The 26,073-nt window shown below is 45.3% G+C and overlaps 1 protein-coding gene across 10 annotated transcripts in view; it reads left to right on the top strand.

Annotated features, from left to right (window-relative positions):
- Window positions 1-26,073, top strand: part of COL22A1 (collagen type XXII alpha 1 chain) — a 325,807-nt gene that overhangs the window by 5,532 nt on the left and 294,202 nt on the right. For all 10 annotated transcript variants that reach the window (XR_001745487.2, XM_017013150.3, XM_011516886.4 and 7 more), the window contains exon 2: window positions 25,266-25,428. Coding sequence is in view for 9 of the 10 variants with exons in the window: in XM_017013150.3 (XP_016868639.1) it covers window positions 25,338-25,428 (91 nt within the window). In the remaining variant the exon portion in view is untranslated. The remainder of the gene's footprint in view (window positions 1-25,265; window positions 25,429-26,073) is intronic.

Raw genomic sequence — 26,073 nt, 5'->3', positions numbered from 1 at the left:
ACGTGAATAAGATAAATGTACATAATTCATATGAGAAAGCAGATGTACTATTTGGGCAATCAATTTTTTCTTTGTTATTCCTTGTTAGAATGTTTTAAATTTAAAAAGTAACAAAAGCATGTTTTTACAAGTGCAACAGTATCTGCAACTCTTCTGAGTTCTTATCCCCCAACTTAACCAATAGTAACATTCTGGCTAATATTCTTTCACAACTGATGTATATCCAAACATCTACATCAATCAAAATGCAGCATTTGAACAGTGTGGGAACAATAGCCAACACATATTTACAAACATGGGCATCTAGCACAGTGTCTGGCTCTTAGGAGGTACTGCATAAATGATTGAAAGGTTGAACTGTCATATTTTATTTTGCCTGGTTTAATGCTTGCTGTGGACCCAGTGGGAAGTGGTGCTGTGGTCCGCATTGTTTATGGCATGAATGAGCCTTTGTGTGGGGGAGTGGGGAGGGAGGGAGAGCAGAAAGAAATGTCTGCATGGACGGACAGGTGTTACGATTTGAGTGTGTCTCCCCAAAGTTCATGTGTTGGGAACTTCATCCCCATTGCAGCAGTGTTGGGAGATGTGGCCTAATAAGAGGTGATTGGGTCATGAGGGCACACCCCTCATGGAAGGTCTACTATTGCTGTTGTAGGAACAGGTTAGTTCTTGTGTGAGTGGGTTGTTATAAGATGAATTTGGCCTGTGGGTCCTCTCTCTGTTTTACATGCGTGCTTCTGCCTTCTGCTGTGGGGTTACCCTCGCTGGATGCCTGTGCCATGCACTGGGATTTCCCAGCCTGTAGCGCTGTGAGGCAAATGCATCTCTCTTTTAATAAATTGCCCAGTCTGTATTATTAAAAGAGAATCATTTTCAGTGCTTCTGTCTTAAGACAGTGGGCTAAGACAATGGGTAAGTGAGCAGATTAATGAAAGAATGAATGAGAAAGTAAATAGATGATAGGATAAATGTATGAATGAGTGAGTTAGTGGATTAATTTGCATCAACAAATTTGATCAGCCATTCCTGGATGGTTTTTCAGATCAAGGGGAAAGAAGGTTGGATTGCAGTAGTCCTTTGCTCAGACAGAACCTTTCAAGAGGTTTTTCTTGTACCCTTCCAGCTGAATTCTCCTACCAATAAATGCTCACACTATTTAAAAGCCTGAATTTGCTAGACACTGCACAGCACGAGGGTAATGAGCAGAGCTCCCTCCCACAAGCTCCCCTTGTAGGGGACTAATCCTGGAAGCTCCTGTTCAGTTTTGGTCCTGAAGCCCCACAACAGTGGAGACAAAGCCACAGGCTCCCCTAGGGAATGAGCTGGAGAGCCCCACACTGTGATGGAGAAATATCTTTTGGTCCCTCTGTGTTGGGCACATTTGTGAGTCAATTCCCTGGGAGGAGAACATGCCACAAAGCCTCCATTCCTGGCCCCTCCCTGGTACACACCTCACCTCTGTGTGCTCTTATCCACAGAGTAGCCGGGTCCTGGTAGCATCTAGGCCATTTCTTGGAAGAAAAGAAATGCCACTGGTGATTAGTCAAAGAAAGTCTTGCCCAGGTGTGGTGGCTCATGCTTGTAGTCCCGGCACTTTGGGAGGCCGAGGCGGAAGGATCACTTGAGGTCAGGAGTTCGAGACCAGCCTGGCCAACATGGCAAAACCGTGTCTCTACTAAAAATACAAAAATTAGCTGGGTATGGTGGCGGGTGCCTGTAATCCCAGCTACTTGGGAGGCTAAGGCAAGAGAATTGCTTGAATCCAGGAGGTGGAGGTTACAGTGAGCTGAGATCACACCGTTGCACTCCAGCCTGGGTGACAGAGCCAGACTCTGTCTCAAAAAAAAAAAAGAAAAAGAAAGTCAGTCTTATGTCAATCCACATGTTTTCTATCTTCTCAGAAAATAAAAGTTTCAATTAAAAATACAAGAAAGAGCTCCCTCTTACTAAGTTAAATTTGCCATTGAACACCCAGTTGAGACACTTCAACTCATTTATTTGTTTCTGTCTGTTACACTGATACATGATACTGCTCTGTGCGCATCATTGTTCCAGGCACAGAGGAAGAGAGACTAGACACGTTAAGTTTAAGCAGCTCAGTTGAGAAGACAGACCAATATGTAGGTAATTTTTTTTTTTTGAGACGGAGTCATGCTCTGTCACCCAGGCTGGAGTGCAGTGGCACCACCTCCGCTCACTGCAAGCTCCGCCTCCCGGGTTCACGCCATTCTCCTGCCTCAGCCTCCTGAGTAGCTGGGACTATAGGTGCCCGCCACCATGCCTGGCTAATTTTTTGTATTTTTAGTAGAGACGGGGTTTCACCGTGTCAGCCAGGATGGTCTCAATCTCCTGACCTCGTGACCCGCCCGCCTCGGCCTCCCAAAGTGCTGGGATTACAGGCGTGAGCCACCACCCCTGGCCAGTAGGTAATTTTTAATATTACTTGTAGAGTGCTAAGATCCATGAGTCTGTGGGAGCCCCTAAGGAATATAGTGGAACACTCCCTGCCTGGTATATCAGCGAAGTCTTCACTGAGGAGAAGGCACATAAACCAGGTTTTGAAGGATGAATAGGAGTCTGTCTGGCAAGAAAAATAAATTCTGAGGTAACAACACAGACAATGTCAGGAGTTAGGAAAAGAAAATGCAGGTGTTTGAGGAAAGGAGAGGAGTCTTTGAGGTTGAAGAATAAGGTTCATGAGGTGAAATGTGAGGTGAGGGATCAGGTTGAGAGAGGCCTTGAGGGGCCAAGAGGAGGCTTTAAGCTGGGATAGAACATGAACGAAACTGTCTTGTCCGATAACGTGGATGTTTAGGGTGAATGAGGTCCTTTGCAAGTTCACAGAGTACAGTAAAGGGGAATTTATAATCTGGCACAGAGGGAGGGGCCTCACTCTCAGAATGGAAACTCCTCAGAGGTTGTGTGGAGTGTGTCCCCCAGGGGCAGAAATGGGAGCTTGGCTTAGGGACTGCAGGGTCTCTTAAGGTAGGAGCTCTAAACAGCCTGGTTGCCTGAGGTTTCCCGGTATGAAACAGAGCTCTAAACTGGGAAAGGGGACCTAGGGCCCAGTCTGAGCTCAGCCACTGGCCTTTCCTTCAGCTAAGACAGCCAGCATCTCGGAAGTTCCAACACTTTAGAATTCTGAGATGCACTTACCGTCTTGCAAAGTAGTGAGTTTCTGGTCCCTGGAGATATCCAAGTTTAAATGAGTGTATAAGGGGTATCTAGAGGGAATTCGAGCATGGGCTAATGGAGGGTGTTGGGGTAGATCACTCCCTCTGATAGTTTTCTGAGTGGAATTTATATGGTGGTGCAAAAAGTGTTGTGAGTGTGAAGGAAGCACTGAAAAAGATTCTTTGGTAATGACAGCTTTCTTTTATCAAGAGCTTAGAGTTTGTCATGTATCTAATCTAGCTGTCTATCCATCCATCTATCTGTTGATATGTATTTTTAATGCTGCTATGACTGGGGACTCAGCAACTGATGAAGTAGATTAGTACTCCCTTTTTACAGATGAGGCAACCGAGGCTTAGAGAGATACTAGCTGAGGCCACATGGCTGGAGAGTGGTGGAGACAGAAGCCAGGCTCAAGTCTGTGGGGCCTCATGGTCCATGGCCCTCCCGCTGTGCTGTCTCACATCTCAAAGGGGAGGCGCTGCATGTGGCTTCTCATTATTCTCTCCCAGAAAAAGGGGAGCCTGCTGGGATGGCACCTCCAAAATCAGTGTGGATGCTGGAGCACTATTTATACATATTGCTTCACCAGACCAGACGCTGCTCAAAATAAATTAAACAGAAATATCTTTCTGTGTCCTCAAGACTCTGTAATCTGAGACAATTTCTTGTGAAATGAACTGAGACAGTGTACTAAGTGGGGGACTGGTGGGGGGAGAGAAAAAAAATTGGGAAGAATTCAATACTGAAAATGAGAAAGAAATAAAAATGGGGTTATTACAGCTCTACCACGTTTGAAGAAATGAATAAAACAATAAAGAGTGGTTAAGGTTTGCTTGTACTGATGGGTGAGGCAGGCTGAGGGGAGACTGAGAAGGGCTGTCCTGTCCTCTTGTGTGCATCCTCCCATCTGTGCTGCCTCTTCAACCCTATAGACCCAGGGAGGCCGCAGGGGTTGGGCCAGCAGGGGGTGGCGGGTGGTAAGGGTGTGTGTGTGGGGTGTCTCTGGATGGCTTTTGGAAGTTGGCCGTTGGAGAGGGAAGTTGAATGGGGTAATTCTGGAAAAGCATATCTAAACTGAGTTGTCAATCAAAGATGAAAGGAGAGGAAGAGGAAACAAGATATAGAGCCCAGAAAGCAGTTTAAGAAGCAGGGACTCCCCGTGTGAGCTCTGCAATGAGGTGGCGGTGTCTGCTGGGCCCTGCTAAGAGCAACAAGTGCTTCTCTGTGGTTTTGAAGTGGAAGAACTCCAGCTCAAATTAGCTTAAGCTTAAAAAGCGGGGATAGGGAAATATTTCTCTCGTGCAACACAGTAGCTCTGGGTACCTCTGGACTTTTGACAAATCTGGGTGCAGGGGCTCCAGGGAAGCATCTTATCTTGTTCTCGGGATCCAGTGTGCATCAGGATCCCCCACACACTGGCACATGGCCGTCAGCGCCCCCCAAACTCAGCAGCTCCAGCAGACGTGCGCCTCTTTACCCAGAAACCCTAGCAGAGGGCCTGGGGATGCTTGGCTCTTGTCAAATTCCAGCATCCAGGGGGATGTGGGGCCCAAGCCAGCTCATTCTGGTCCCCTGCCACCTCCTAGCTGAAAAAGCAGGGTATTCTTCCATGTACCCCATCAACTGATAGTAGGAGAGAGGTTTTTACTGAAAGCAAAAGACTGGCTCTGCTCTCTGAAGGAGGGAGGCTTGGAAGACAAAAGCAATTGTGGGCCCAGGTAGAAAACAATCACTGGTGTCAGGAGCCAAGCAGGGCGCCAGGTGAAAGCCATCTGGGGGCCTACCTCCAGATGCTGTTTCTGTTCTGCACAACAGGTTGAGGTGCCCGCTTTTCTCTCCAACTCCACTTAAAGCCCATTAGACCTTTATGGGATGCAACATATGATTTAAAATGTATGAGCATGTTTGCTACATGTTACCCCAAGCATAAAACTCAAACCACAACATTGAAGGCCCCCCAGTCTGTCCTGAACTGTCCCTTTCCATGGTTATTTCTGTTTCCTTCAGGAAGCCGTTGGTGATCCTGGGGTTGGGTGGCCCAGAATGTGAATCCAGCCTCTTTCATTTAATAGCCACATGACCTGGAACAATGTCCTGGCTTCAGGGTTTCAGTCTGTGAAAGGGACACTGACTCAGCACATCAGGCTATGGTGGGGATCCCATGTGACTGAGTAGACACATGTCCCTGCTCCATATTTGCTGTAGGGTTGATGCTCAATAATTCATAAGTTAATTCCTGGATAAATCCGTTCATATGAGGGTGGCTACAGACCTTGAGACAATTCGCGATAGGGAGGGAGCATTTTTCTTATTCACGTGTTAGCCCCGCCAGTCTGATCCATGGGTGATTAGTGGTATTAGGGCTAAAGTAACCACCCTTGAACAACCAGGGGTGGACGACCATGAAAACGTTTCATGTTTCCATAATCCCTGAGACCAACCGCGTTTGGTGAAAGCCTCCTGTCCTGTGCCTTCACAAGCCTTGACCCCATCCCACAACTTCCTGTCCGCTCTCAGGCATAACAGAGACCAGCCCAGTCAGTTCTAGTGTGTGTGTGTGTGTGTGTGTGTGTGTGTGTGTGTGTGTGTGTGTATATATATATATATTTATAAATTTTTTTTTTTTTGAGACGGAGTCTTGCTCTGTCGCCCAGGCTGGAGTGCAATGGTGTGATCTTGGCTCACTGCAACCTCTGCCTCCCAGGTTCACGCCATTCTCTTGCCTCAACCTCCCGAGTAGCTGGGACTACAGGCGCCCACCACCACACCTGGCTAATTTTTTTTGTTTTTGTATTTTTTAGTAGAGACCGGGTTTCACCATGTTAGGCAGGATGGTCTCGATCTCCTGACCTCATGATCCGCCCACCTCGGCCTTCCAAAGTGCTGGCATTACAGGCATGAGCCATCGCGGCCCAGCCTGTCAGTTCTAGTATAAAAGTGCAGGCCTACATCACAGTGAAGTTCTCTGCCCTCCCATCAGAGCCAATGCGAAGCCGTTGTCCTGAGGGACCTGGCTGGGGCCTTTTCTCTGTTCCTCTCTCTTTTTCTGGAGGGTTGAGGTAAGGATAAAGGGAAAGGAGAGGGGCAGTGGCCTCTGCTTTGATGGTTGTGGTAGCAGCTCCTCTGGCCACCTTTGCCACGAAAGCTTCATTGTGTTTCGGGCATCCACGTGGTGCCTCTCTCATGGAGCGCCTCACCTCTCCCAACTTGGGAGGTCTCATCTGGTGGGAACTCCCCCATGCCTCTTCCTCCCCTGTGCCTGCAGCATCCTTCACAGCGTCTTACAGCTGGAGTCTCCTATTTGTGCAGTTATCTCTGCTGGGCACCAGCCCGGTAACTCAAGCCTCACCTCCTCCTGTGGTGTCCATTTGACTCATGGGGAGCTCGCTTACCATGTCTCGGGGAGCAGGGGAGTGCAGGTAGCCCCGCCTTCCCCAGCACAGCCCCTCTTCCCATTGTCTTCTCCTTCATTCACATAGGTCCAAGCAGACATGCAGTCAGGCGACACCGGAGAGGTAGGTGCAAGCCAGCCCATGAAGGTCTGCAATAAGCACTCGGACTTTATCCAAAGGCAATGAGGGGTGCAGCAGGGTTTGTCCATGAGTCTTAACGATCATATTTATGTCGTTTTGGGTCTTGTGAGGATGTGTAGGAAGTCCCAGTAAAGGCCAGGCATGGTGGCTCATGCCTGCAATCCTAGCACTTTGTGAGGCTGAGGCAGGCAGATTGCCTGAGCCCAGAAATTTGAGACCAGCCTAGGCAACATGGTGAAACCCTGTCTCTACAAAAAGTACAAAAATTAGCTGGGCATGGTGGTATGTACCTGTAGTCTCAGCTACCTGGGAGGCTGAGGTGGGAGGATCACCAGAGCCTGGGAGGTAGAGGCTGCAGTGAGCTGTGATCACACCACTGCACTCCAGCCTAGGGGATAGAGTGAGAGACTGTCTCAAAAAAAAAAAAAAACAAAAAAAAAACCTGCCAGTAATGAGTGGATCTGAGGCTGGAGGCCATGTCTGAGGCTGTTGGTGGCAGGGATTCAACAACTGCTGGAGACTTTTCACTCCTCACCCCATTCCCCTTTCCAAAATGCTCCTTCCCATTAATCAGATCTCAGTTCAAGTGTCCCCCAACTAAGAGGAGTCTTTGCTTTTTTTTTTTTTTTGAAAGCAGTGGTGCTTTTAATGAAACTTCTTTCAAATCTGTGAACATGCTAGCTGTGAAGTAAATGCTTTTATTCTTTCCACAGGAAATATTTCCAAACAATGATTACAGTGTTATAGCTAATAAGATGCTGGACAGATGAGTAGCCAAAGAATACTATAAAACAACAAAATCTCATCAATGATATATCGAGGAGTCTTTCCTTTTACAGAGTGTAAAAAATGTCCTACCCAAGTCACCTTCTATCACATGACCCTGCTTTTTTTGTGTTCAAATCAACTATTACTCTCTAAAACCATCTTCTTTATTTATTTGTTACTTTGTTTACTTTCTCCCTTCTCTCTCTAGAAAGTAAGCTGGATGGAGGCAGGAACACTGCTACACCCGGTGATTAAGACAACGCCTGGCACACAGTCTGGGACTCAGTAAATCCTTGTTGAAGTAATTGATCAATGACTCTAAAGACCACAAAGCATAGTGAAAGAGTGGGCGATGGCTTTAGAATGAAAGTGGCCATTCAAGTCACTTGGAGCCCAGGTTTAAGACATCTTCATTGTCTCAAGAATACACAGATATGGCTTGAGTTTCATTTACAGTTTCTAGCAACTGGGAGAGAAACAGAAATGGCATGCAGCCTCTTCTTAAGGAAGTGATAAAAACAAAAAATATAACTGATAATATTTTTGAATTCCATAGCATAAAGAAGGAGGTTCGGAAAACAGGTCTCACTTTTTCTGTCTCCTCCTCCAGTCATCTGAATCCTTCTGCAATTTGGCAGTGTAGGGCTGAAGCCAATTCCATTGAAATCACTGGGATGTCTGAGTGGACAGGAGGCAAAGACCGGATAGATGCTATTGCTCTTTAGAAGGACCAAACACTCCTGATGGCCAGAGCTCTTTTTTATCTCCCCACCTGCAAGGCACCTGATCAAGCACTGCCATTCTATAGAGTGACAAACCAAGCCTTCCTGGTTAAATGAAAAGAGCACAGAATCTAGGATCATAATGGCCTGGGACTAAATCCCTATTCTACCCCTTCTGGGCGGTATAGTCTTTGGCATGTTTTTTCACTGCCCAGAACATGAGGTTACTCAGCTGTAATAAATGTTTTGCTAGCCCCTTCTGAAGAAATAAAGCAATGCAGGAGAAACAGCCAGTACAGTCCTGGTTGCTATTTATATCATCTGCATCATCATACCTTCGCCATATCTGGTACCCTGCAGTCTACTGGATCAGCTGCCATTTTTATTTATTTACTCATTTAACAAATATTTATTGAGCAACAACTTTGTGCCAATGGTAAGTGTCAGGGATCATGATAGGTAAGACCACTTTTGCTCATGAAGAAGCTTATGACCCAGTGGCTCATGCTTATAATCCTAGCATTTTGGGAGGCAGAGGTGGGTGGATCACCTGAGGTCAGGGGTTTAAGACCAGCCTGGCCAACATGGTGAAACCCCGTCTCTACTAAAAATACAAAAATTAGCCGGGCATGGTGGCGCATGCCTGTAATCCCAGCTACCCAGGAGGCTGAGGCAGGAGAATCACTTGAACCCAAGGGGTGGAGGCTGCAGTGAGCCAAGATTGTCCCACTGCACTCCAGACTGGCCCATAGAGTGAGACTCCCTCTCAAAAAAAAAGAAAATTATGACCCAATAGCAAAGACGTATTAATGCACGCAAGTTCAAAATATGAAGCAGCATAATAACACGAGAATCTATTAACCAGTCAGCACTGACTGAACCCTTGAGGGTATTGTGTCTCACCATCCCTGGATTTTCTTGGCTAAACCAGATCTTCTTATTTTCTGCATCATGTCCCCCTTTAAAGGTCCCAGGATTTTCTCAACCTTTTTTATCCGTAAAGTGGCCCTGAGCGAATATACTCTCTGTATTCATGTCTGGCATGGTGAAAGGTGGCAGGGCATGGTTTGGGCACTTGTAGGACTTACATTGTGATTGGACAATACAATGGACAAAAATAAATGAAGGATAAAAACAGGGAGGGTAGAAAAAGGAGAAAGGGGAGAATAAAGAGGGGGAAGAGGAAGAAGAAGAGAGAAAGCAGCAGGAGTGGTGTTAGAATAAGGAGTAACATATGGGATTGATGTGAGCAAGTCACATTTCTAATTCATCCTTGCATCTGCAGCATGTGGCTGAAGCTGTACCTAGAGCCGGGTGAAGAAAGCAGTAAGAAAAAATAGAAATAATCTGTGACAACGTATCAGGTTTTTTTGTATTTTTGTTTTCTTAAAGATGATGCTGCTTCCTCATAGGGAATTTAGTGTAGAGGGAAACAAGAGAGCAAGGAAGGAGACCAGTTCAGATGTTGTTGCTGTGCTCCAGGCAAGAGAGAAAGGAGGCTTGGTCTCCACCAGCAGGAGTGGAGAAGGGGAGGTATTGGCAGACCTGCAGTGTGCTGGGGTGGGAGATCTGATAGGGCTACAGAACGTATGTTCTATATGGGCAGTTAGCTAGGCAATGGGAACAAAGCTTGTCTTCAGGGGCCTCAGGGTAGCTTTTACTCTTGGGGACCTATTTCGCTAAGTTAGTCTTTGCTTTCCCTTTATCCTTGAGGGATATTTTTGCTGGATAGAAGATTGTGGGTTGGATGTAGGGTATGAGAGGTGAAGTAGCAAGTGTCTGAGGAATGCTCATCCCAATCCCATAAACTATGGTAAGAGACTTATGGGCATTTAAGGCAAGATTATCAGGATGCAATCCATCCTGAGCTAGCTATTTTTTGGGGAGTGGTGGCGGAGGGTATGAAGGATGGAAATTTGTGATATATCACTTTCCTTCTTGAATATTTCATTTTCGTGTTTGCTAAGATAACCAAAGGGCTGCCAGGGTGTTTCCATTTCTGGAGAAGGCAGAAATTCACAATACTGGGATGGTGCAAGGAGCTTTGTCTTTCTGGGGATCTGTTTTATTACGTACACCCAGATGAAGCAGAGGCTGCAGTTCTGTTCTTTAACTTGATTCCTATCTGCTGTAGACTGAATGTGTCCCTCTGAAATTCATATATTGAAATCTAATTCCTAATGTAATGGCATGTGGAGGTGGGGCCTTTTGGAGGGCTTAGGTTATGAGCGCAGAGTCCTAATGGATGGGATTAGTGTTCTTATGAAAGAGGCCTGAGAGATCTCTCGCCCCATCTGCCATCTGAGGACACCATGAGAAGAGAGCCCTCTATGAATCAGAAAGCAAGCACTTGCCAGACACCCAATCTGTGGGTGCCTTGATCTTGTGCTTCCCAGCCTCCAGAACTGTGGGAAATACATTTCTGTTGTTTAAAAGCCACCCAGTCCATGGCAATTTGTTGCAGCAGCCCAAAAAAGACATGATCTCTAGTTCAGCCGTTTTTTTTTTTCTGTTGTTGTTTTTCAGAATGAAGGAGAATTTTCTTATTCAAAATCAGCTTACTCATCTGTTGAAGCTGTGAATTTGTGTGAAAGGGAAATCATTCATCAATTTCTTCACTGAGTTTTTATTAAACATATGCTCTATGGGCAGTTAGCTAGGCAATGGGAACAAAGCTTGTCTTCAGGGGCCTCAGGATGGCCTTCACTCTTAGGGACCCATTTCACTAAGTTACTTATTATTATTATTATTATTATTACTTTGAGACAGAGTCTCGCTCTGTCACTAGGCTGCAGTGCAGTGGCATGATCTTGGCTCACTGCAACCTCTGCCTCCTGGGTTTAAGCGATTCTCCTGCCTCAGCCTCCTGAGTAGCTGTGATTACAGGCATGTGCCACCACGCCCAACTAATGTTTGTATTTTTTTAAGTAGAGACGGGGTTTCACCATGTTGGCCAGGGTGGTCTCGATCTCTTGACCTTGTGAATCGCCTGCCTCAGCCTCCCAAAGTGCTGGGATTACAGGTGTGAGCCACTGTACCTGGCCTAAGCTATTATTTGTGGAAGGGTCTGGCACAGTGCAGGGAGGGTAGTAAGGTAAATAGTAAATGTCTCCTTCCTTCTCCAGGCCTGGATTCATATCTTCTCTCTGTTACACACTGGCCATGTAACCTTCAAAAATGAATGATTTAGCCTCATGAGTCTTCCATTTCCTCATCTATAAAACAGATAGATAATGGAATGATAAGGCTGCCTTACAGTGATTGGCAAGGTTATGGAATGAGGTTACCTATGTAACTCACCTGGGGGACTTAGGGGCCTGAATGGATTTTTTTTTTTGAGAAAGAGTCTCTCTCTGTCACCCAGGCTGGAGTGCAGTGGCACAATCTTGGCTCACTGTAACCTCTGCCTCCCGAGTTCAAGTGATTCTCCTGCCTCAGCCCCGCAAGTAGCTGGGATTACAGGCACTCACCACCACGTTCAGCTAATTTTTGTATTTTTAGCAGAGACGGGGTTTCGTCATGTTAGCCAGGCTGGTCTGGAACTTCTGACCTCAGGTGATCTGCCTGCCTTGGCCTCCCAAAGTGTTGGGATTACAAGCATAAGCCACCGCGTCTGGCCTTGAATGGAATTTTAAACTTTCTCGTGCACTTTGCTCTATATTGTGTGCTTCTTTTTAAGGGTTAAGTCTGCCAATGTATTATGTTTTCCTTTTATTCATTTACTTCCTCATTCCTTAGTTTCCCCTTTTGTGCCCTCTTGTGGATTACTTCAACAATTTTTACAATTCCATTTTTATTTATTTATAATGTTTTTGAAAAAATATCTTTATTGAGTATTTTTTAGTGGTTGCTTCTAGGTACTGCAATGCATATAGAGAGCATGAGTCAACTAGTATGGATGTTTTACCACTTTGAGTTTAGTGTAGAAACCTTACTTTCATTTAAGTCCCTTTACCCTTCCCCTTTTAAAATACAAATAACATATTTAGAATTTCCTCTGTACACACTGAACACCGTATCAGATGATGCTATAACTTTTGCTTAGTCATCAAATTTTTTTTTAAAAACTCATGAAAAATAGACTCTATTATATATGCCCTTATTTTTATCCATGTTAAAGTCTCCACCTCTTTCTCTCATTTCCTTTTCTGTTTAGGAAGCTTCCTTTAGCAATTCTTCAAAGGTAAGCCTGTGAGTGGCAAATACTCTTAGTTTTCCTTCTTATGAGATTATCTTTGCTTCCTCTTTATCCCTGAGTTTGCTGGATATAAGATTGTGGGTTGACAGTTCTCTTTCAGCGCTTGAAGAATGTTGTGCCATTTCCCCCTGGTTTCTTGGTTTCAAGTAAGAAATTGGCTGTCATTTGTGTTTCCACTATAGACAATGTGTCACTTCTCCTAGATTCTTTCAATATTTACTTGTCTTTATCTGGTTTTCAGAAGTTTGATTATGATGTATTTAAGCATAAATTTCTTTGGGTTTATTCTGTTTGGGGATAAATAGGATCTACAGCTTCTAGGATCTCAGCAAGTTTGAGAATTTACCATCCATTATTTCTTTTAAGTTTTTGAGCTCCGTACTCTTTCTTCTCTCCCTGGATTGCTGTGATATGAAAGTTATGTATATTGCTATTATTTATAGATTTCTGAGGCTCTGCTCACTTTTTTTTCCAGTCTGTTTTCTTGCTGTTGCTCAGATTGGGTAAATTCTATTGGTCTGTTGTTTCAGTTTGCTGATTTTTTAGTCAGTTGTCTCATTTCCAGTCTAGTTTTAGGCCTGCTCTATGTTTTCTAAATGTTGTTATTGTATTTTTTTTTAGTTCTTAAATTACTTTTTGTTTCTGTTTTACATCTCCTATTTTTTGCTGAGAGTTTCTATTTTTTCATTTGTTTCAAGAGTGTTTGTTATGGTTTATTGAAGCATTTCTATGACTTCTGCTTTAAAAATATTTGTGACAAAATTTGGGTTATTCCAGCGTTGGAATCAGTTGATTGAATTTTCTCATTCAAGCTGTAATTGCCCTGGTTCTTGGCATAATAAGTTACTTTCAGTTGTATCCTCGACACTGGCCATTATTCTGAGAAACTCTGGATTCTATTTAATTTTATTGTTTAGTAAACAGTCACCTCATTTTGGTATAGTAAGATGGCCTAGGTGAGGATAGATGTTCAGCTCCTGGCTGGGCCTTGCTGATACCACCCCAAAAAAATACAGTGTTTTTTTTTCTTTTCTTTTCTTTTTTTTTTTTTAAGAGAAAGGTTCTTGCTCTGTTGTCCAGGCTGGAGTGCAGTGGTGTGATCATAGCTCACTGCAGCTTCAATTTCCTGGGTTCAAGCAATCCTTTTGCCTCCACCTTCTGAGTAGCTGGGACTACAGGCATGTACCACTACATCAAGCTAACCAGGTTTTTCGTTTGTTTGTTTTTTAAGGTAAAAATACACCATACAATACTCTTTACCATAAAAGTCACAGGAAACTATTGGATCAGGGGAAGAAAACTGAAAATACAGAAGTACTGTAGCATGCTCACTTATATTACAAAGTGTAGTAACTGAAAGTGAAGCTGACACTAAGGTCAGAGATGGGACATATGGGGCTTCTCTCCCTCCTCTGACTCTTGCCTAAACACTGATACCACTGAAAGCTCTGTTTTCTATTCTTCTATACTTTTCCAGGAATATCTCCAGCTCCAGTTTCTTTTCTGAGCTGTAGACTCAAGTGCCCATCTGCCTTTGATCTCTCCTTCTGACTGTTTTACAGGTACCTCAAATTTACCTCAGTATTTCCAGCCTGCACTCTTCATCTGGTCCCCTCACTGATTGGCTCCCTGATGCTCAAATTGGAAATCTGGGCTTGCTTCCAGATGTTCTTCTCCCTCAATCTCCTGCTCCCTGCCAGTCACCAGTGTCATAGAATCTGCAGCTGGACCACTTTGCCCATGGCTGTGTTATGGAAGGTTGTTGGGATTTCTGTTTGAATTGTTGCACTAGAACTCCTCATTGGTCTCTCTAATCCATCCTTGTCAACAGAGTTTCCTAAATCACATTGGTATATGCCACTCACATACATGTAAACATCCACTGGCCCCAGGGGCTATCCAAGCATGTCTGAACCTTTTCTCTGGGTCACTGCACAAGTCTCTAGGCTTTCTTGTTAATGTTCTTTCCTTACACTTGAATGCCTTCCTCCCCATGAATTCCTACCTTCTGCTCCAGCCTGAATTTTCATTGTTTTCTGCATCTTTTCCTCCAAACTACTGTGCTCCTTGGCTCATTCTATGAGTAATAATAAATGGGAGGTGGGCTATTCCTGGTGAAGGCAGCCCTTGTCCTTTTGCCTACTTCCCACTCATCTTTCCAGACTCAGCTCAGGCATCACCTCCTCCAGGAAGCCTTCCCTGACCTCCCAAGCCCAGGTTAGGTGCTTGTCCACTCAGCTCCCATGACACCATGTCCACTGACCATATGGAAATATAAGCATTTATTTCCTTGTCTGTCCATTAGGCTGCAAGCTCCTTGGACAAAGTGTAATGAAAAATGCCTACCATGCATTTAGGGCATGATTGAGTTACAGACTAAAACAATGAAATACACATTACCCCTATGCAGTCAACATCAACCCAGTTCTCTGAATTGCTCAGATGAACACATCTCCCCTTGATAGCCAATTTTTACAGTAATGGAAATCTTTTACTTTATAAAAATGATCACATCCATTGTCTCATGTAATCTCTTTCACATTTTGCTGAAGTAGGGGATATCGTTCCCATTTTATAGTTGAGGAAACTAAGGATTGGAAAGTAATAAAAGTAGTGTGGCTTAAGCACCATCTGTGTCCAGGTACATTTTAGGCTTTTTATATATCGTAACTCGTTTAATTAAACCCAACAACCCTGTGAGATAAGTGTTTTAATCCCCACTTCATACATCAAAGAGTTGACATCCAGAGTGGTTAAGTGAATTCCCCTAGTTTGCACAGCTAGTAAGCAGCATAATTGGAATTTGAACACAGGGATGCTGATTGAAAAGCTTAGTCATTATGCTAGCTGCCCCAAGAGTAGTCAGACACCTGTGACAGTGTCTGGTCTGGCATGTAGAAAGTACTCAGTCTGTATTTGTTGACTGAAGAGGACTTGCTCCAAGCTCCACAGAGTTGAATTTCGAATCCAGGATGTAGGCAAGCTTGGTTGGGCTCCAAGGCAGCCCTCTTAAGACAGGAGCCACCTGGTTCTATCTTCCCCTCTCTGACCAGCAAGTGCAGTTTGCATCACAGACAGCTCAGCAGGACTGTGCCAGTCGTTCCAAGCTGGGTCTGTGATAGAAGGACGCAGTTCAGTGCTCTGGACACAGACATACTATGCTCTTATGTCCCAACCAGATTCCTGCCCAGAACATTGCCCATCACCCCAGCAACACATCAGCAGTGCCTCATTCCCCCAGCCCCCACCCGCAATGGGCAGAGGCCAGACCCTCTGACTCAGACAGAGCTCGAACTCTGCCCAGGCTGCCCTAGCAATCTGCCGAATCTCATTTTCTCTCTCTAAATTGCTTTCTGCTCAGTGTTCTTCCTCCCCCCTCCTCTGGGTCCCTGAATGGGAATGCTGGTTACTATGGCAATGGGCTGGCTTGTGGAAGGAACTCAGCTCACTAAATTAATTGCTGGACTTTTGGGAGACTAATGGCAGAGCTCTGCCTCCCAGGGACAGGGGTGTGGCCTACATCCTGCCAGCTTGGCAGCTAACCCCTGAAAACAGCTCAGGGCTGGGTGAGAGAGAGAAGATGGAATAATGGTACCCCATGCTTGCTGGGGCTGCAACCTGAGATGGGCTGGGGAGTGTGGAGGTTCCAGAAACCTCACGTTTGGTGAACACCTACTCTATGCCAGGGCCTGTGCTGCAGGATTTGCAGAAATCATTTCCTGTAACCCTTACCATACCCCCTGATAGAGTAGAGATCATCCCTTTCTAATGGTTGAGGAAACTGAGTATAAGAAATGTTCATTTGTGCCACCAAGTGGCAAAGCTAGGATTCCATACCAGGGCTTCCTCACTCAGTAAACATTTTGTTATGAACACTCCATTTATTTCTGGGTAGAAAGCCATTCTCTTTTCCACAATCTCTTCCAGAAGATAGAAGCAGAGGGAATACTTCTTAACTCATTCTATGAGACCAGCATGGCCCTAATACCAAAACCAAATGAGGACATTACAAGAAACCACAGACCAGTAACTCTCATGAACATAGATGTCAAGATCCTCAACAAAATATTAGCAAATAAATCAAGCAACATATGAAAATAATTATACGTCATAGCCAAGTGGGATATGTCCCAAGTAGGCAAGGCTGGTTCAACATCTGAAAATCAATTAATGTTATTCATCACATCAACAGGATAAAGAAAGCCATGCTCTTCCCTCCCAGGGGTTAACTGAAAGTTTCTTCTGCAGCAAATTTTCCTTCTCTTTCAATGCTCTTGTCCTCTCCTTCTTGTAAACTGGATGACGCATAGTTTGGTGTTTGACTATATCCTTTGCTTTTTTCTCTCATTGTGTCTGTACTTATGAAATAAGTGTTGCTGCAGCCAGATTGCAAACATCCTGGGAGAAGCAATGTTGCTGAGTGACTGAGTATGGACCTATGGTTAGATTGTTTGGGATTGAATCCTTCCCATGACTCCTAGATATGGGAGTCATGGGAGGATTACTTAAGCCCAAGTTCTTCAGTTTCTTACTCTGTACAATGGAGCTAATTATGCCTACTGTTCAGACTAAATGAATTATTATTTATAAAGCCCTTAAAGTGGCTACTGCACTTATGAGCATGTAATGTACGTAAATGGTTTAATGTATGTTAATGGTTTAGTGCTGGGAAGAGCAGGGGCTTTGGCGCCCTTCAGATCTGATGCCAAGACCAGCTGTCATTACTAGGGTGTGTGCTTAGGGAAGTTGTCTATCCTCCCTGAACCCAGGTTCATCACTGGTAAAGGGGGTGATTAGTACTAATTTGCAAGTCTGCTGTGATTACTCTATTTCTAGAACATTTTCATCACCTGAGACAGAAAATCTGTCAACCATTAAGCAATCAGATGAGATATCTTTCTTCTTATTTAGGTCTTTAACTTTTGTCACTAGTGTTTCGTAGTTTTCAGTGTATGTGTCATTGTTGATTACATTTATTCCTAACATTTTATCCTTTTTGATGCTACCATAAATGAATGAAATCATTTTCCTAGTTTTCTTTTTGCATTGTTCATTGCTGGTGTACAGGAACACAACAAACTTTTTTTTTTTATACGGAGTCTCACTCTGTCGCCAGGCTGGAATATGGTGGAACGATCTCAGCTCACTGCAACCTCCACCTCCTGGGTTCAAGCAATCATCCTGCCTCAGCCTCCTGAGTAGCTGGGACTACAGGCTCATGCTGCCATGCCCGGCTAGTTTTTTTTTTTTCTTTGTATTTTTGTAGAGACGAGGTTTCACCATGTTGCCCATGCTGGTCTCGAACTCCTGAGCTCAGGCAATCTGCCTGCCTTGGCCTCCCAAAGTGTTAGGATTACAGGCATGAGCCACTGTGCCCAGCCCACAACAAACTTTTGAGTGCTGGTTTTGTATCTTATACTTCGTTGAATTTGTTTATTGGTTCTACCAGTTTTGGGGGTATTATTTGGGTTTTTCCACATATACGATCATGCCATCCGTAGCTGGACATGGTGATATGTGCCTGTAGTCACAGCTACTTGGGAGGCTGAGGCAGAAGGATTGCTTAAGCCAGGAGTTCAAGGCTGCAGTAGGCTATCATTGTGCCACTGAACTCTAGCATGTGAAACAGAGTGAATCCCCATCCCTAAAAAAAAAGATAAGGCCATCTGCAAATAGAGATAATTTTACCTCTTCCTTTTCAAGTTGAATGCCTTTTATTTCTTTTTCTTGCCTAGTTGCTGTGGCTAGAACTTCCAGTAGCATGTTGAGTAGATACGGCAAAGAAGCATCCTTGTTTTGTTCTTGGAAAAACTTTCAGTCTTTCACCATTGAGGATGACGTTAGCTGTGAATTTTTCATAGATGGCCTTTATTATCCTGAGGAAGTTTTTTTATAGTCTTATTTTATTTTTTTTATCATGAAAGGGTGCTGGGTTTTGTCAAATGCTTTTTCTGCATCAGTTGGATTCACTATGTATTTTCTTCTTCCCTTCATTCTGCTTATGTGGTATGTTACATTGATTGATTTTTGTATGTTGAACCACTCCTGCATTCCTGAGATAAACCTCACTTGGTCATGGTGTCTGTTACTTTTACTATGCTGCCCGAATTTGATTTGCATTTCTTTTTGTAAATATTTTTGCATCTATGTTTATAAAGGATATTGGTCTTTAGTTCTGTCTTTTCTTGAGTATTTAGAAAGATATATGACAAAGATTTCTCTAAAAACTTGGAGATTACAACATTGATAAAGCCGGGTTTCTGCAATGAGGGAAATTATCAAATTTCTAGAGCCTGGGAAAATACTGAACAACGATGGATGATCCATTTTATTTCCCGCCCTCACTGGCCACCATCTTTCTTATTTCACAAGACAAAGGCGGCTCAGTAGTTGCAGCTAATATTTGCTTTAACTTTTAGGATACATGTGCACAATGTGCAGGTTAGTTACATATGTATACGTGCCATGCTGGTGTGCTGCACCCACTAACTCGTCATTTAGCATTAGGTATATCTCCTAATGCTATCCCTCCCCACTCCCCCCACCCCACAACAGTCCTCAGAGTGTGATGTTCCCCTTCCTGTGTCCATGTGTTCTCATTGTTCAATTCCCATCTATGAGTGAGAACATGCGGTGTTTGGTTTTTTGTCCTTGCGATAGTTTACTGAGAATGATGATTTCCAATTTCATCCATGTCCCTACAAAGGACGTGAACTCATCATTTTTTATGGCTGCATATTATTCCGTGGTGTATACGTGCCACATTTTCTTAATCCAGTCTATCATTGTTGGACATTTGGGTTGGTTCCAAGTCTTTGGTATTGTGAATAGTGCCAGTTGCAGCTAATATTTGGATTTGTTGTATCCATTGAGTTCAGGGAAAGAGTGTGGGTTTAGTGCCCAGAAGAGGCCTAGGTTTCAGCCCCAGTCCCTTCTTTCACCAACTGAGTGACGTGGGGAGAGACACATACCTTCTCTCCACCTCAGTGTCCTCCTTTACCCAGTGGAAATGATGATGCCTGCCTTGAAGAGTCACATGAGCTCATGCAATAATCAGATACTGCTTGGCATATGGTAGATAATAAGTGATAATCAGTTACTTTCATAGTTCCTTGATGATGCCTATATTCTTCTGATGAATGACTCCTGGCTACCCCAATGTAATATGATACTATAACAGCATCAGATGCTGGCCGTTCATCATTCATTCATCAATCTAATGCTTATTTAGGTGACCACTACATGCTAGGAGCTGTTCTAGGTGCTAGGCAACAGAATGGACAAGTCCGACAAGTCCTTGTCTCCATACAGCTGTGAAGCATGAGAGGGCTGGGCGATCAGCTCTGACTTGCTAAGATTCTGTGCCTCTCCCCTGGACCATCTGACTCCTGACCTTGGAACCCTGACTGCCCTTATGTGTTCCATTTTTGGACAGTGCTTTTCTTCCTGTTCCTGTAGCTGCCTCCTGCTGCTCTCTGAGTATTGTCATTCAGACTATTATACCCTGTGCTCTCACAAGTGGCCTTTAGAGCCCTGGTAAGACCTGAGTGCACTTTGCCCTGAAGGTGGTAGGAACCAGATTATACCTCTCCTGAGAGCAACCTGCATGCCTGTCATGCATAGGGAAGTTCCCTAAGTACCACACTCTGGCCCACTCTGGGGCCTGGCAGATGCCATTCCTTCTGCCTGAAATTATCACCTATTTTTTGTCTGGCTGAGTCCTGCTCAGCCTTCCAAACTCACCTTGGAAGGAAGCTGGGAAGCCTGACCTTCCCCTGAAATAGTCAGGTGATGGACATCCCCACCTCTGTGCCTTCCCCTACAACCCCCTGGGCTTCCTTCTACCAGCACTCACTTGATCCTCCCTCCCCCTGGTGTGTGTCTTACCTGTGTCACAGGGTCATTGAGAACCTGTGCAGGGTAGGCTCAGTGTCATTTATCTACCTATCCTCAGCACCTGGCACAGGAGGGCAACTCGTGAATATTTCCTAAATGAAGAAATCAATAGTGAAATGTGTATTGTTTTCCCTGTCCAGGACCTTGGCTTTAACAATGAAAAATACGTTTAGAAATGTACAGCCACATGAAAATAAAATATACAGAAGGGAAAATACACTTAGCTAATAAGCCTCATGGAACAAAGAAATGCATGGGAAACAAGCAACAATGCCTCTTCTGTTGAGTTAACCAAAGATTGAAGGAGTGATAATACTCAATGCTAACAAGTAGGTGGTGACAGGAGCACCCGCACACTCCCACACTGCTGGAGGCAGTGGACATTGGTACAATATTTTCAGAAAGCAATTTGGCAATACGAGTCAGGATTCTTGCAAAACTCTTATGACCCCCTAAGTGTTTTTCTACAAATCTACCCTCAGAAAATAATTACACATGGGTAAGACTTAGGTGCAAAGATGTCCTCTGTAGCATATTAAATAAATAAAATGACCTACTAAATGTCCCAAAGTAGAAATTGCAATTAAAACAATGACGCCAGTGCCACAGGTATAGTTCTAGGTAGCCAATAATGGTGACATTTTTAAGGAATTTTTAATAGGCCAGACATTGCTCAAGATATAATGTTAAGAGAGACTGGCCGGGTGTGGTGGCTCACGCCTGTAATCCCAGCCCTTTGGGAGGCCGAGGCGGGTGGATCACGAGGTCAGGACTTCAAGACCAGCCTGGCCAACATGGTGAAGCCCCATCTCTACTAAAAATACAAAAATTAGGTGTGGTGGCAGACACCTGTAATCCCAGCTACTTGGGAGGCTGAGGCAGAGAATTGCTTGAACCCAGGAGGCAGAGGTTGCAGTGAGCTGAGATGGCACCACTGCACTCCAGCCTGGGCAACAGAGTAAGACTCCATCTAAAAAAAAAAAAAACAATGAGAGACCACAGTCTGGGAAGGATAGTGAGGGGCTAGGGGTGGGGAGAGGTGGGGACAGTTAACAGGTAAAAGAATAGAATGAATAATATCTACTATTTGACAGCATAATAGGGTGACTATAGTCAATAATAATTGTACATTTTAAAATAAAGAGTGTAGTTGGATTGCTTGTGACTCGAAGGATAAGTGCTTGAGGGGATGGATACCCCATTCCCCATGATGTGGCTATTTCATGTTGCATGCCTCTATCAAAACATCTCATGTACCCCATAAATACATACACCCACTATGTACTCACAACAATTTTAAAAAGTAAAAAAATATATGTATATAAAAAAGAGAGAAAACATCCCCAGCATGGAAAGGGGATGGAGAACAGCCTGCGACCTGAGGTCAAATCCCAGCATGACCACTCACAGCTGAGACTTTAATCCCTTCATGGTGTACTTTTTTCATGAGATAGTGGTTCCTAGCTCATAGCATGAACGTGAGGATCCAATAAGACAATATGTGGACAAAAACTGCTTAGCCCATTTCTTGAAACAGGCTCTTAATACTCTTTTCTATTAGTAATAGGCACTTAAGTAATCTTTTACTGTTGACAAAATCAAAAAAGGAGATCAAGTTTGGGAGCTAGTAAGTCCTAGGCAGAATAGAGACAGCAGAGGTGCTTGGATGATCCTATGCTCAGAAACTGCCAATAGTCTCGATTCTCTGAGTTCAGTATTTCCCTGTGGTAGCCGAGCCATCAGCCTCCCCTTCTTTCTTTCCTTTTTTTTCTCTCTCTTCCTCCTTCCCCTCTGCTCTTCCTTTCTCTCTTCCTTCCCCTCAAATATGAACATCAACTGAGCACCAATTCTGTGCTGGGCTTTGTGCCGGCCACCAGTACTACAGAAACCAATAAGACGCAGTCACTGCTTTCAAAGACCCTCCTCACTAGGCCACGGGGGAGAGAGGCCCTGGGCAGATGATGGCAGCCTGGCTGTGCCTGGGACCCCTGCCAGATCCCATGGGAACAAATACATGTTTAACCCTCAAGTGAGAAATATGACTGGATTCATTCATCCACTCATTCATCAGGGATGTGACAAAGGATCAGAGGGGAGAAGGTGATACGGGGAATAATTTCTCCAGATGTAAGCATCCAGATATCAGCCCCAAAGCCTGCAGAGGGTACCAGGAGGTGGGGGAAAAGAGATGGGAGTCTGTGGGCAAAATTTGGAGGATAGATATAACCTAATGGGTTGTTGGAAAACCAAGGTTCCATACAGAATTTTTGAGGCATTTGATATAAGCCCAGCACAGGGCCATAAATCTGTTTGAAGAAATGCATCTACAAAGGCTGTGCTAAAAGCTGTGTGAGGCTGGGCGCAGTGGCTCATGCCTGTAATACTACTACTTTGGGAGGCAGAGGCAGGCGGATCAACTGAGGTCGGGAGTTCGAAACCAGCCTCACCAACATGGAGTAACCTCATCTCTATTAAAAAACCAAAACTAGCCGGGTGTGGTGGCGCATGCCTGTAATCCCAGCTACTCAGGAGGCTGAGGCAGGAGAATTGCTTGAACCCAGGAGGTGGAGGTTGTGGTGAGCCTTCAGTCTGGGCAACAAGAGTGAAACTCCATCAGAAAAAAACAAAAAACAAAAACAAAAAAAACTGTGTGATACGTTGGCATTTGGTGAATATAGTAGGTAGGAGGGATTTGAGGCAGGGGCGTATCTCTAGACTTAACCCTCCAGGGACTAAGGGGTTGCAGGTGCAGCAGAGACACCTAGACTTGATGTAGAATGGGGGTCTGGCTTTCCTTGGAGTAATGCGCCTGCTGGTTATGGGGTGTCCAATGCCTGCTCCACCACTTCCAGGAGTGTGACCTTGGGCAAGTTATGTGACCTGGCTGAGATCAGGTGTAACATGCAGAATTGGAATGACAACAGCCACTCCATAGGGAGTTGGAAGAACTGATTGACCATCTGGAGGTCAAGTGGAGTGGGGGCGTTCCAGGATGGAGAAGCAGCCTGGATAGAGTGCAGGGTGAGAGCATGTTTGTGTCCTTGGAGCCACAAATAATTCCTAGGACTGGAGGGTGACCCTGCAGTAGGCACAGTGGGTAGGCAGGGCTCCCGCAGCAGATGAAGCCTGGTGGCTCATGATTTCAAATGTGCATTCAGCTCGCTTCCCCTGTGTGTGTGTGCGTGTGTGTGTGTGTGTGCGTGCACACACATATGCACATGGGTGTGTTTCAGGGGGATAATCCTAGAAATTGATTTGCCTGTGCTTGTCATCAGGCACAGCCCTGTTGCTATTTTCTTCACGGTTAATCCAGGTTTTTGGAGCTTCTCTTCTGATTCCTTTTAACATTTTAGATTGTCATTGATGAAGAGTGGAAATGTCAACATAATTCAGAGAAAGATCAGAAACAGAAACATACACACAGACACCCATGAGCTCACTCCCCTGCCACATGTTTTTTATGTTTGGCTAACCCCTCCTAGCCCTGGTCCAGGGTGCTAGTGGTGGCACGTGACTCCAAGCTGCAGTGGACATGCCAGTTCGTAGGATGTCATTTCATGGTTCTCTGCAGTCTTCCCTCTGGTCATTGTAAACACCTGCATCAGATTGGTACTTTACAAAGGGTAAATGAGTTTGCTCCCGACGTACTCCCTTGCCACCATCTTAATATTTTTCTGTTTATTAGACTCTTTTAAAAAGTATTCACCAATTATTTGAAGCAGAATAACCCTTATGAGGATTGTTTGCCCAACTGCCTTTGAGATAACTTCGCTACCATTGCAAACATTGAGGTTCAGGAATCCCTTGAAGAATTCTTCGTTAGTTCTTTCCTTCATAGGTACTTACTGACTGTGTGTAAATGCCCTAATCTTCCATGCCCAGTGAAGTTGGCCTGGCCTCAGCCTCCAGGGATCAAGCAGTCCACAGGGCTGACAATGAAGCAAATGAAGAATGAGAGTCCCAGCCCCCTGCTGAGGAGCTCAGGGTTCACTTGCAGGTAGCTGAGCAGTGACCCCCTCAACCCATAGGGAAGTGAGTGGTCTGGGAAAAATTTTCCAGAAGGGGAGCATCTGAGCTCAGCATTGCCAGAGGCTCCCAGGGTGGGTGTGGGGATTTTAGGTAGAGGGAAGCCCTCCCAGGGGGGCAAAGGGAGGTGTGGTACACCTGGAACCTGTGGGAAATGGCTAGAAAGTTCATGGCTACCAAGTGCAGCATGGTGGGGGAGTGAGGCGAGGTGAGAGGCCAGGCTGGACAGGGTGGGTAGATCATGGCAGGCCCTCATGCCATATTCAGATGAGGACGGTGACACTGAACGATTTTAGGTGGTGTATTAGTCCATTTTCATGCTGCTAGAAAGAATTGCCCAAGATGGTAATTTATAAACGAAAGAGGTTTCATTGACTCATTGTTCCGCATGGCTGGGGAGGCCCCAGGGAACTTACAGTTATGGAGGAAGGGGAAGCAGGTGCTTCTTACATGGTGGCAGGAGAGCGAATATGTGAGAGAGCAGGAAGAACTACCATTATAAAAGTAGCAGATCTCCTGAGAACTCACTCAATATCATAAGAACAGCATGGGGGAAACTGCCCCCATGATCCAATCACCTCCGACCAGGTCCCTCCCTCGACACGTGGGGATTCCAGAGAGGGAGATTTGGGTGGTGACACAGAGCCAAGCCATACCAGGCGGGATGTGGTGTGGAGTCCTCAGGCACAAGGCCCTCTCCTACTCCCTTCTGCAAGCCCATCTGCTAATTGGATGGCTGGGGGGATCCAGGCGTAAATCCATGAAGGGGAGGTCACACTTGGCTCTGCTCTGGAAGGTCACACATTCGCTGCCTGGAGTTGAATCCGGGAGGGAAGATGGGTTGGAAGGCTGGGTGTAGGGAATCCCCCTGGGCAGGGCCCAGAGTTTGCCTCTCACAGACTTTCAGCTTGAGAGCCTTCTCTAAGGGTGTCTTTCTCCACACAGGCCATGCTGCTGTAGACCCTAACAGCGTCTCTTCCTGGCCAAGAGAAGCCTGTCCCCAAGAACAGGAGAGCCATGGCCGGCCTCCGAGGGAACGCTGTGGCTGGCCTCCTCTGGATGCTGCTGCTGTGGAGTGGGGGCGGCGGCTGCCAGGCTCAGCGGGCAGGTGGGGCCACCGTGGGCTGTGCCATGCTGTGCTGGGGACAGAGCAGACAGCATGTGTCCGTGAGCATGGGCTGTGGTGTGTGCATGCAAGTGAGTTCACAACTGACTGTGTGAGAGAGAGGGAGAGTCCGGAATCCAAGTGTGAGTCAGCTGCCTTCTAACCTAGGGACAAAAAATCACCAGCTCCTCAGCAAGGGCCTGTATATGTCTGACAGTATGTGTATGAGTGTGTGAGGAAGTGTGAAAGTGTGAGGGAGAGTGTGTGAGGGAGTGTGAAGGAATGTGGGGGACTGTGTGTGGGAGTTTGAAGTGTGCGAGGGAGTGAGAGGGAATGTGTGTGAGTTTGAGGAAGAGTGGGGGAGTGTGAGGGAGTGTGTGTTTGACAAAGTGTGTGGGAGTGTATGGGAGTGTGAGTTTGAGGGAGTGTGTGAGGGAGTGTGAGAGTGTGTGAGTTTGAGGAAGAGTGTGTGGGAGTGTGAGGGAGTGTGTGAGTTTGACAGTGTGTGGGAGTGTGTGGGAGTGTGAGTTTGAGGGAGCATGTGGGGGAGTGTGAGGAAGTGTAGGAGTGTGTGTTTGACGAAGTGTGTGAGGAGTTCGAGGGAGTGTGTATGAGTGTGAGGTGTAGGGGAGTGTGAGGGAGTTTGAG

Source organism: Homo sapiens, chromosome 8 (genome assembly GCF_000001405.40).
Source record: "Homo sapiens chromosome 8, GRCh38.p14 Primary Assembly".
Classification (NCBI taxonomy): Eukaryota; Metazoa; Chordata; class Mammalia; order Primates; family Hominidae; genus Homo; species Homo sapiens.
This window is presented reverse-complemented; position numbering and strand designations above follow the sequence as displayed.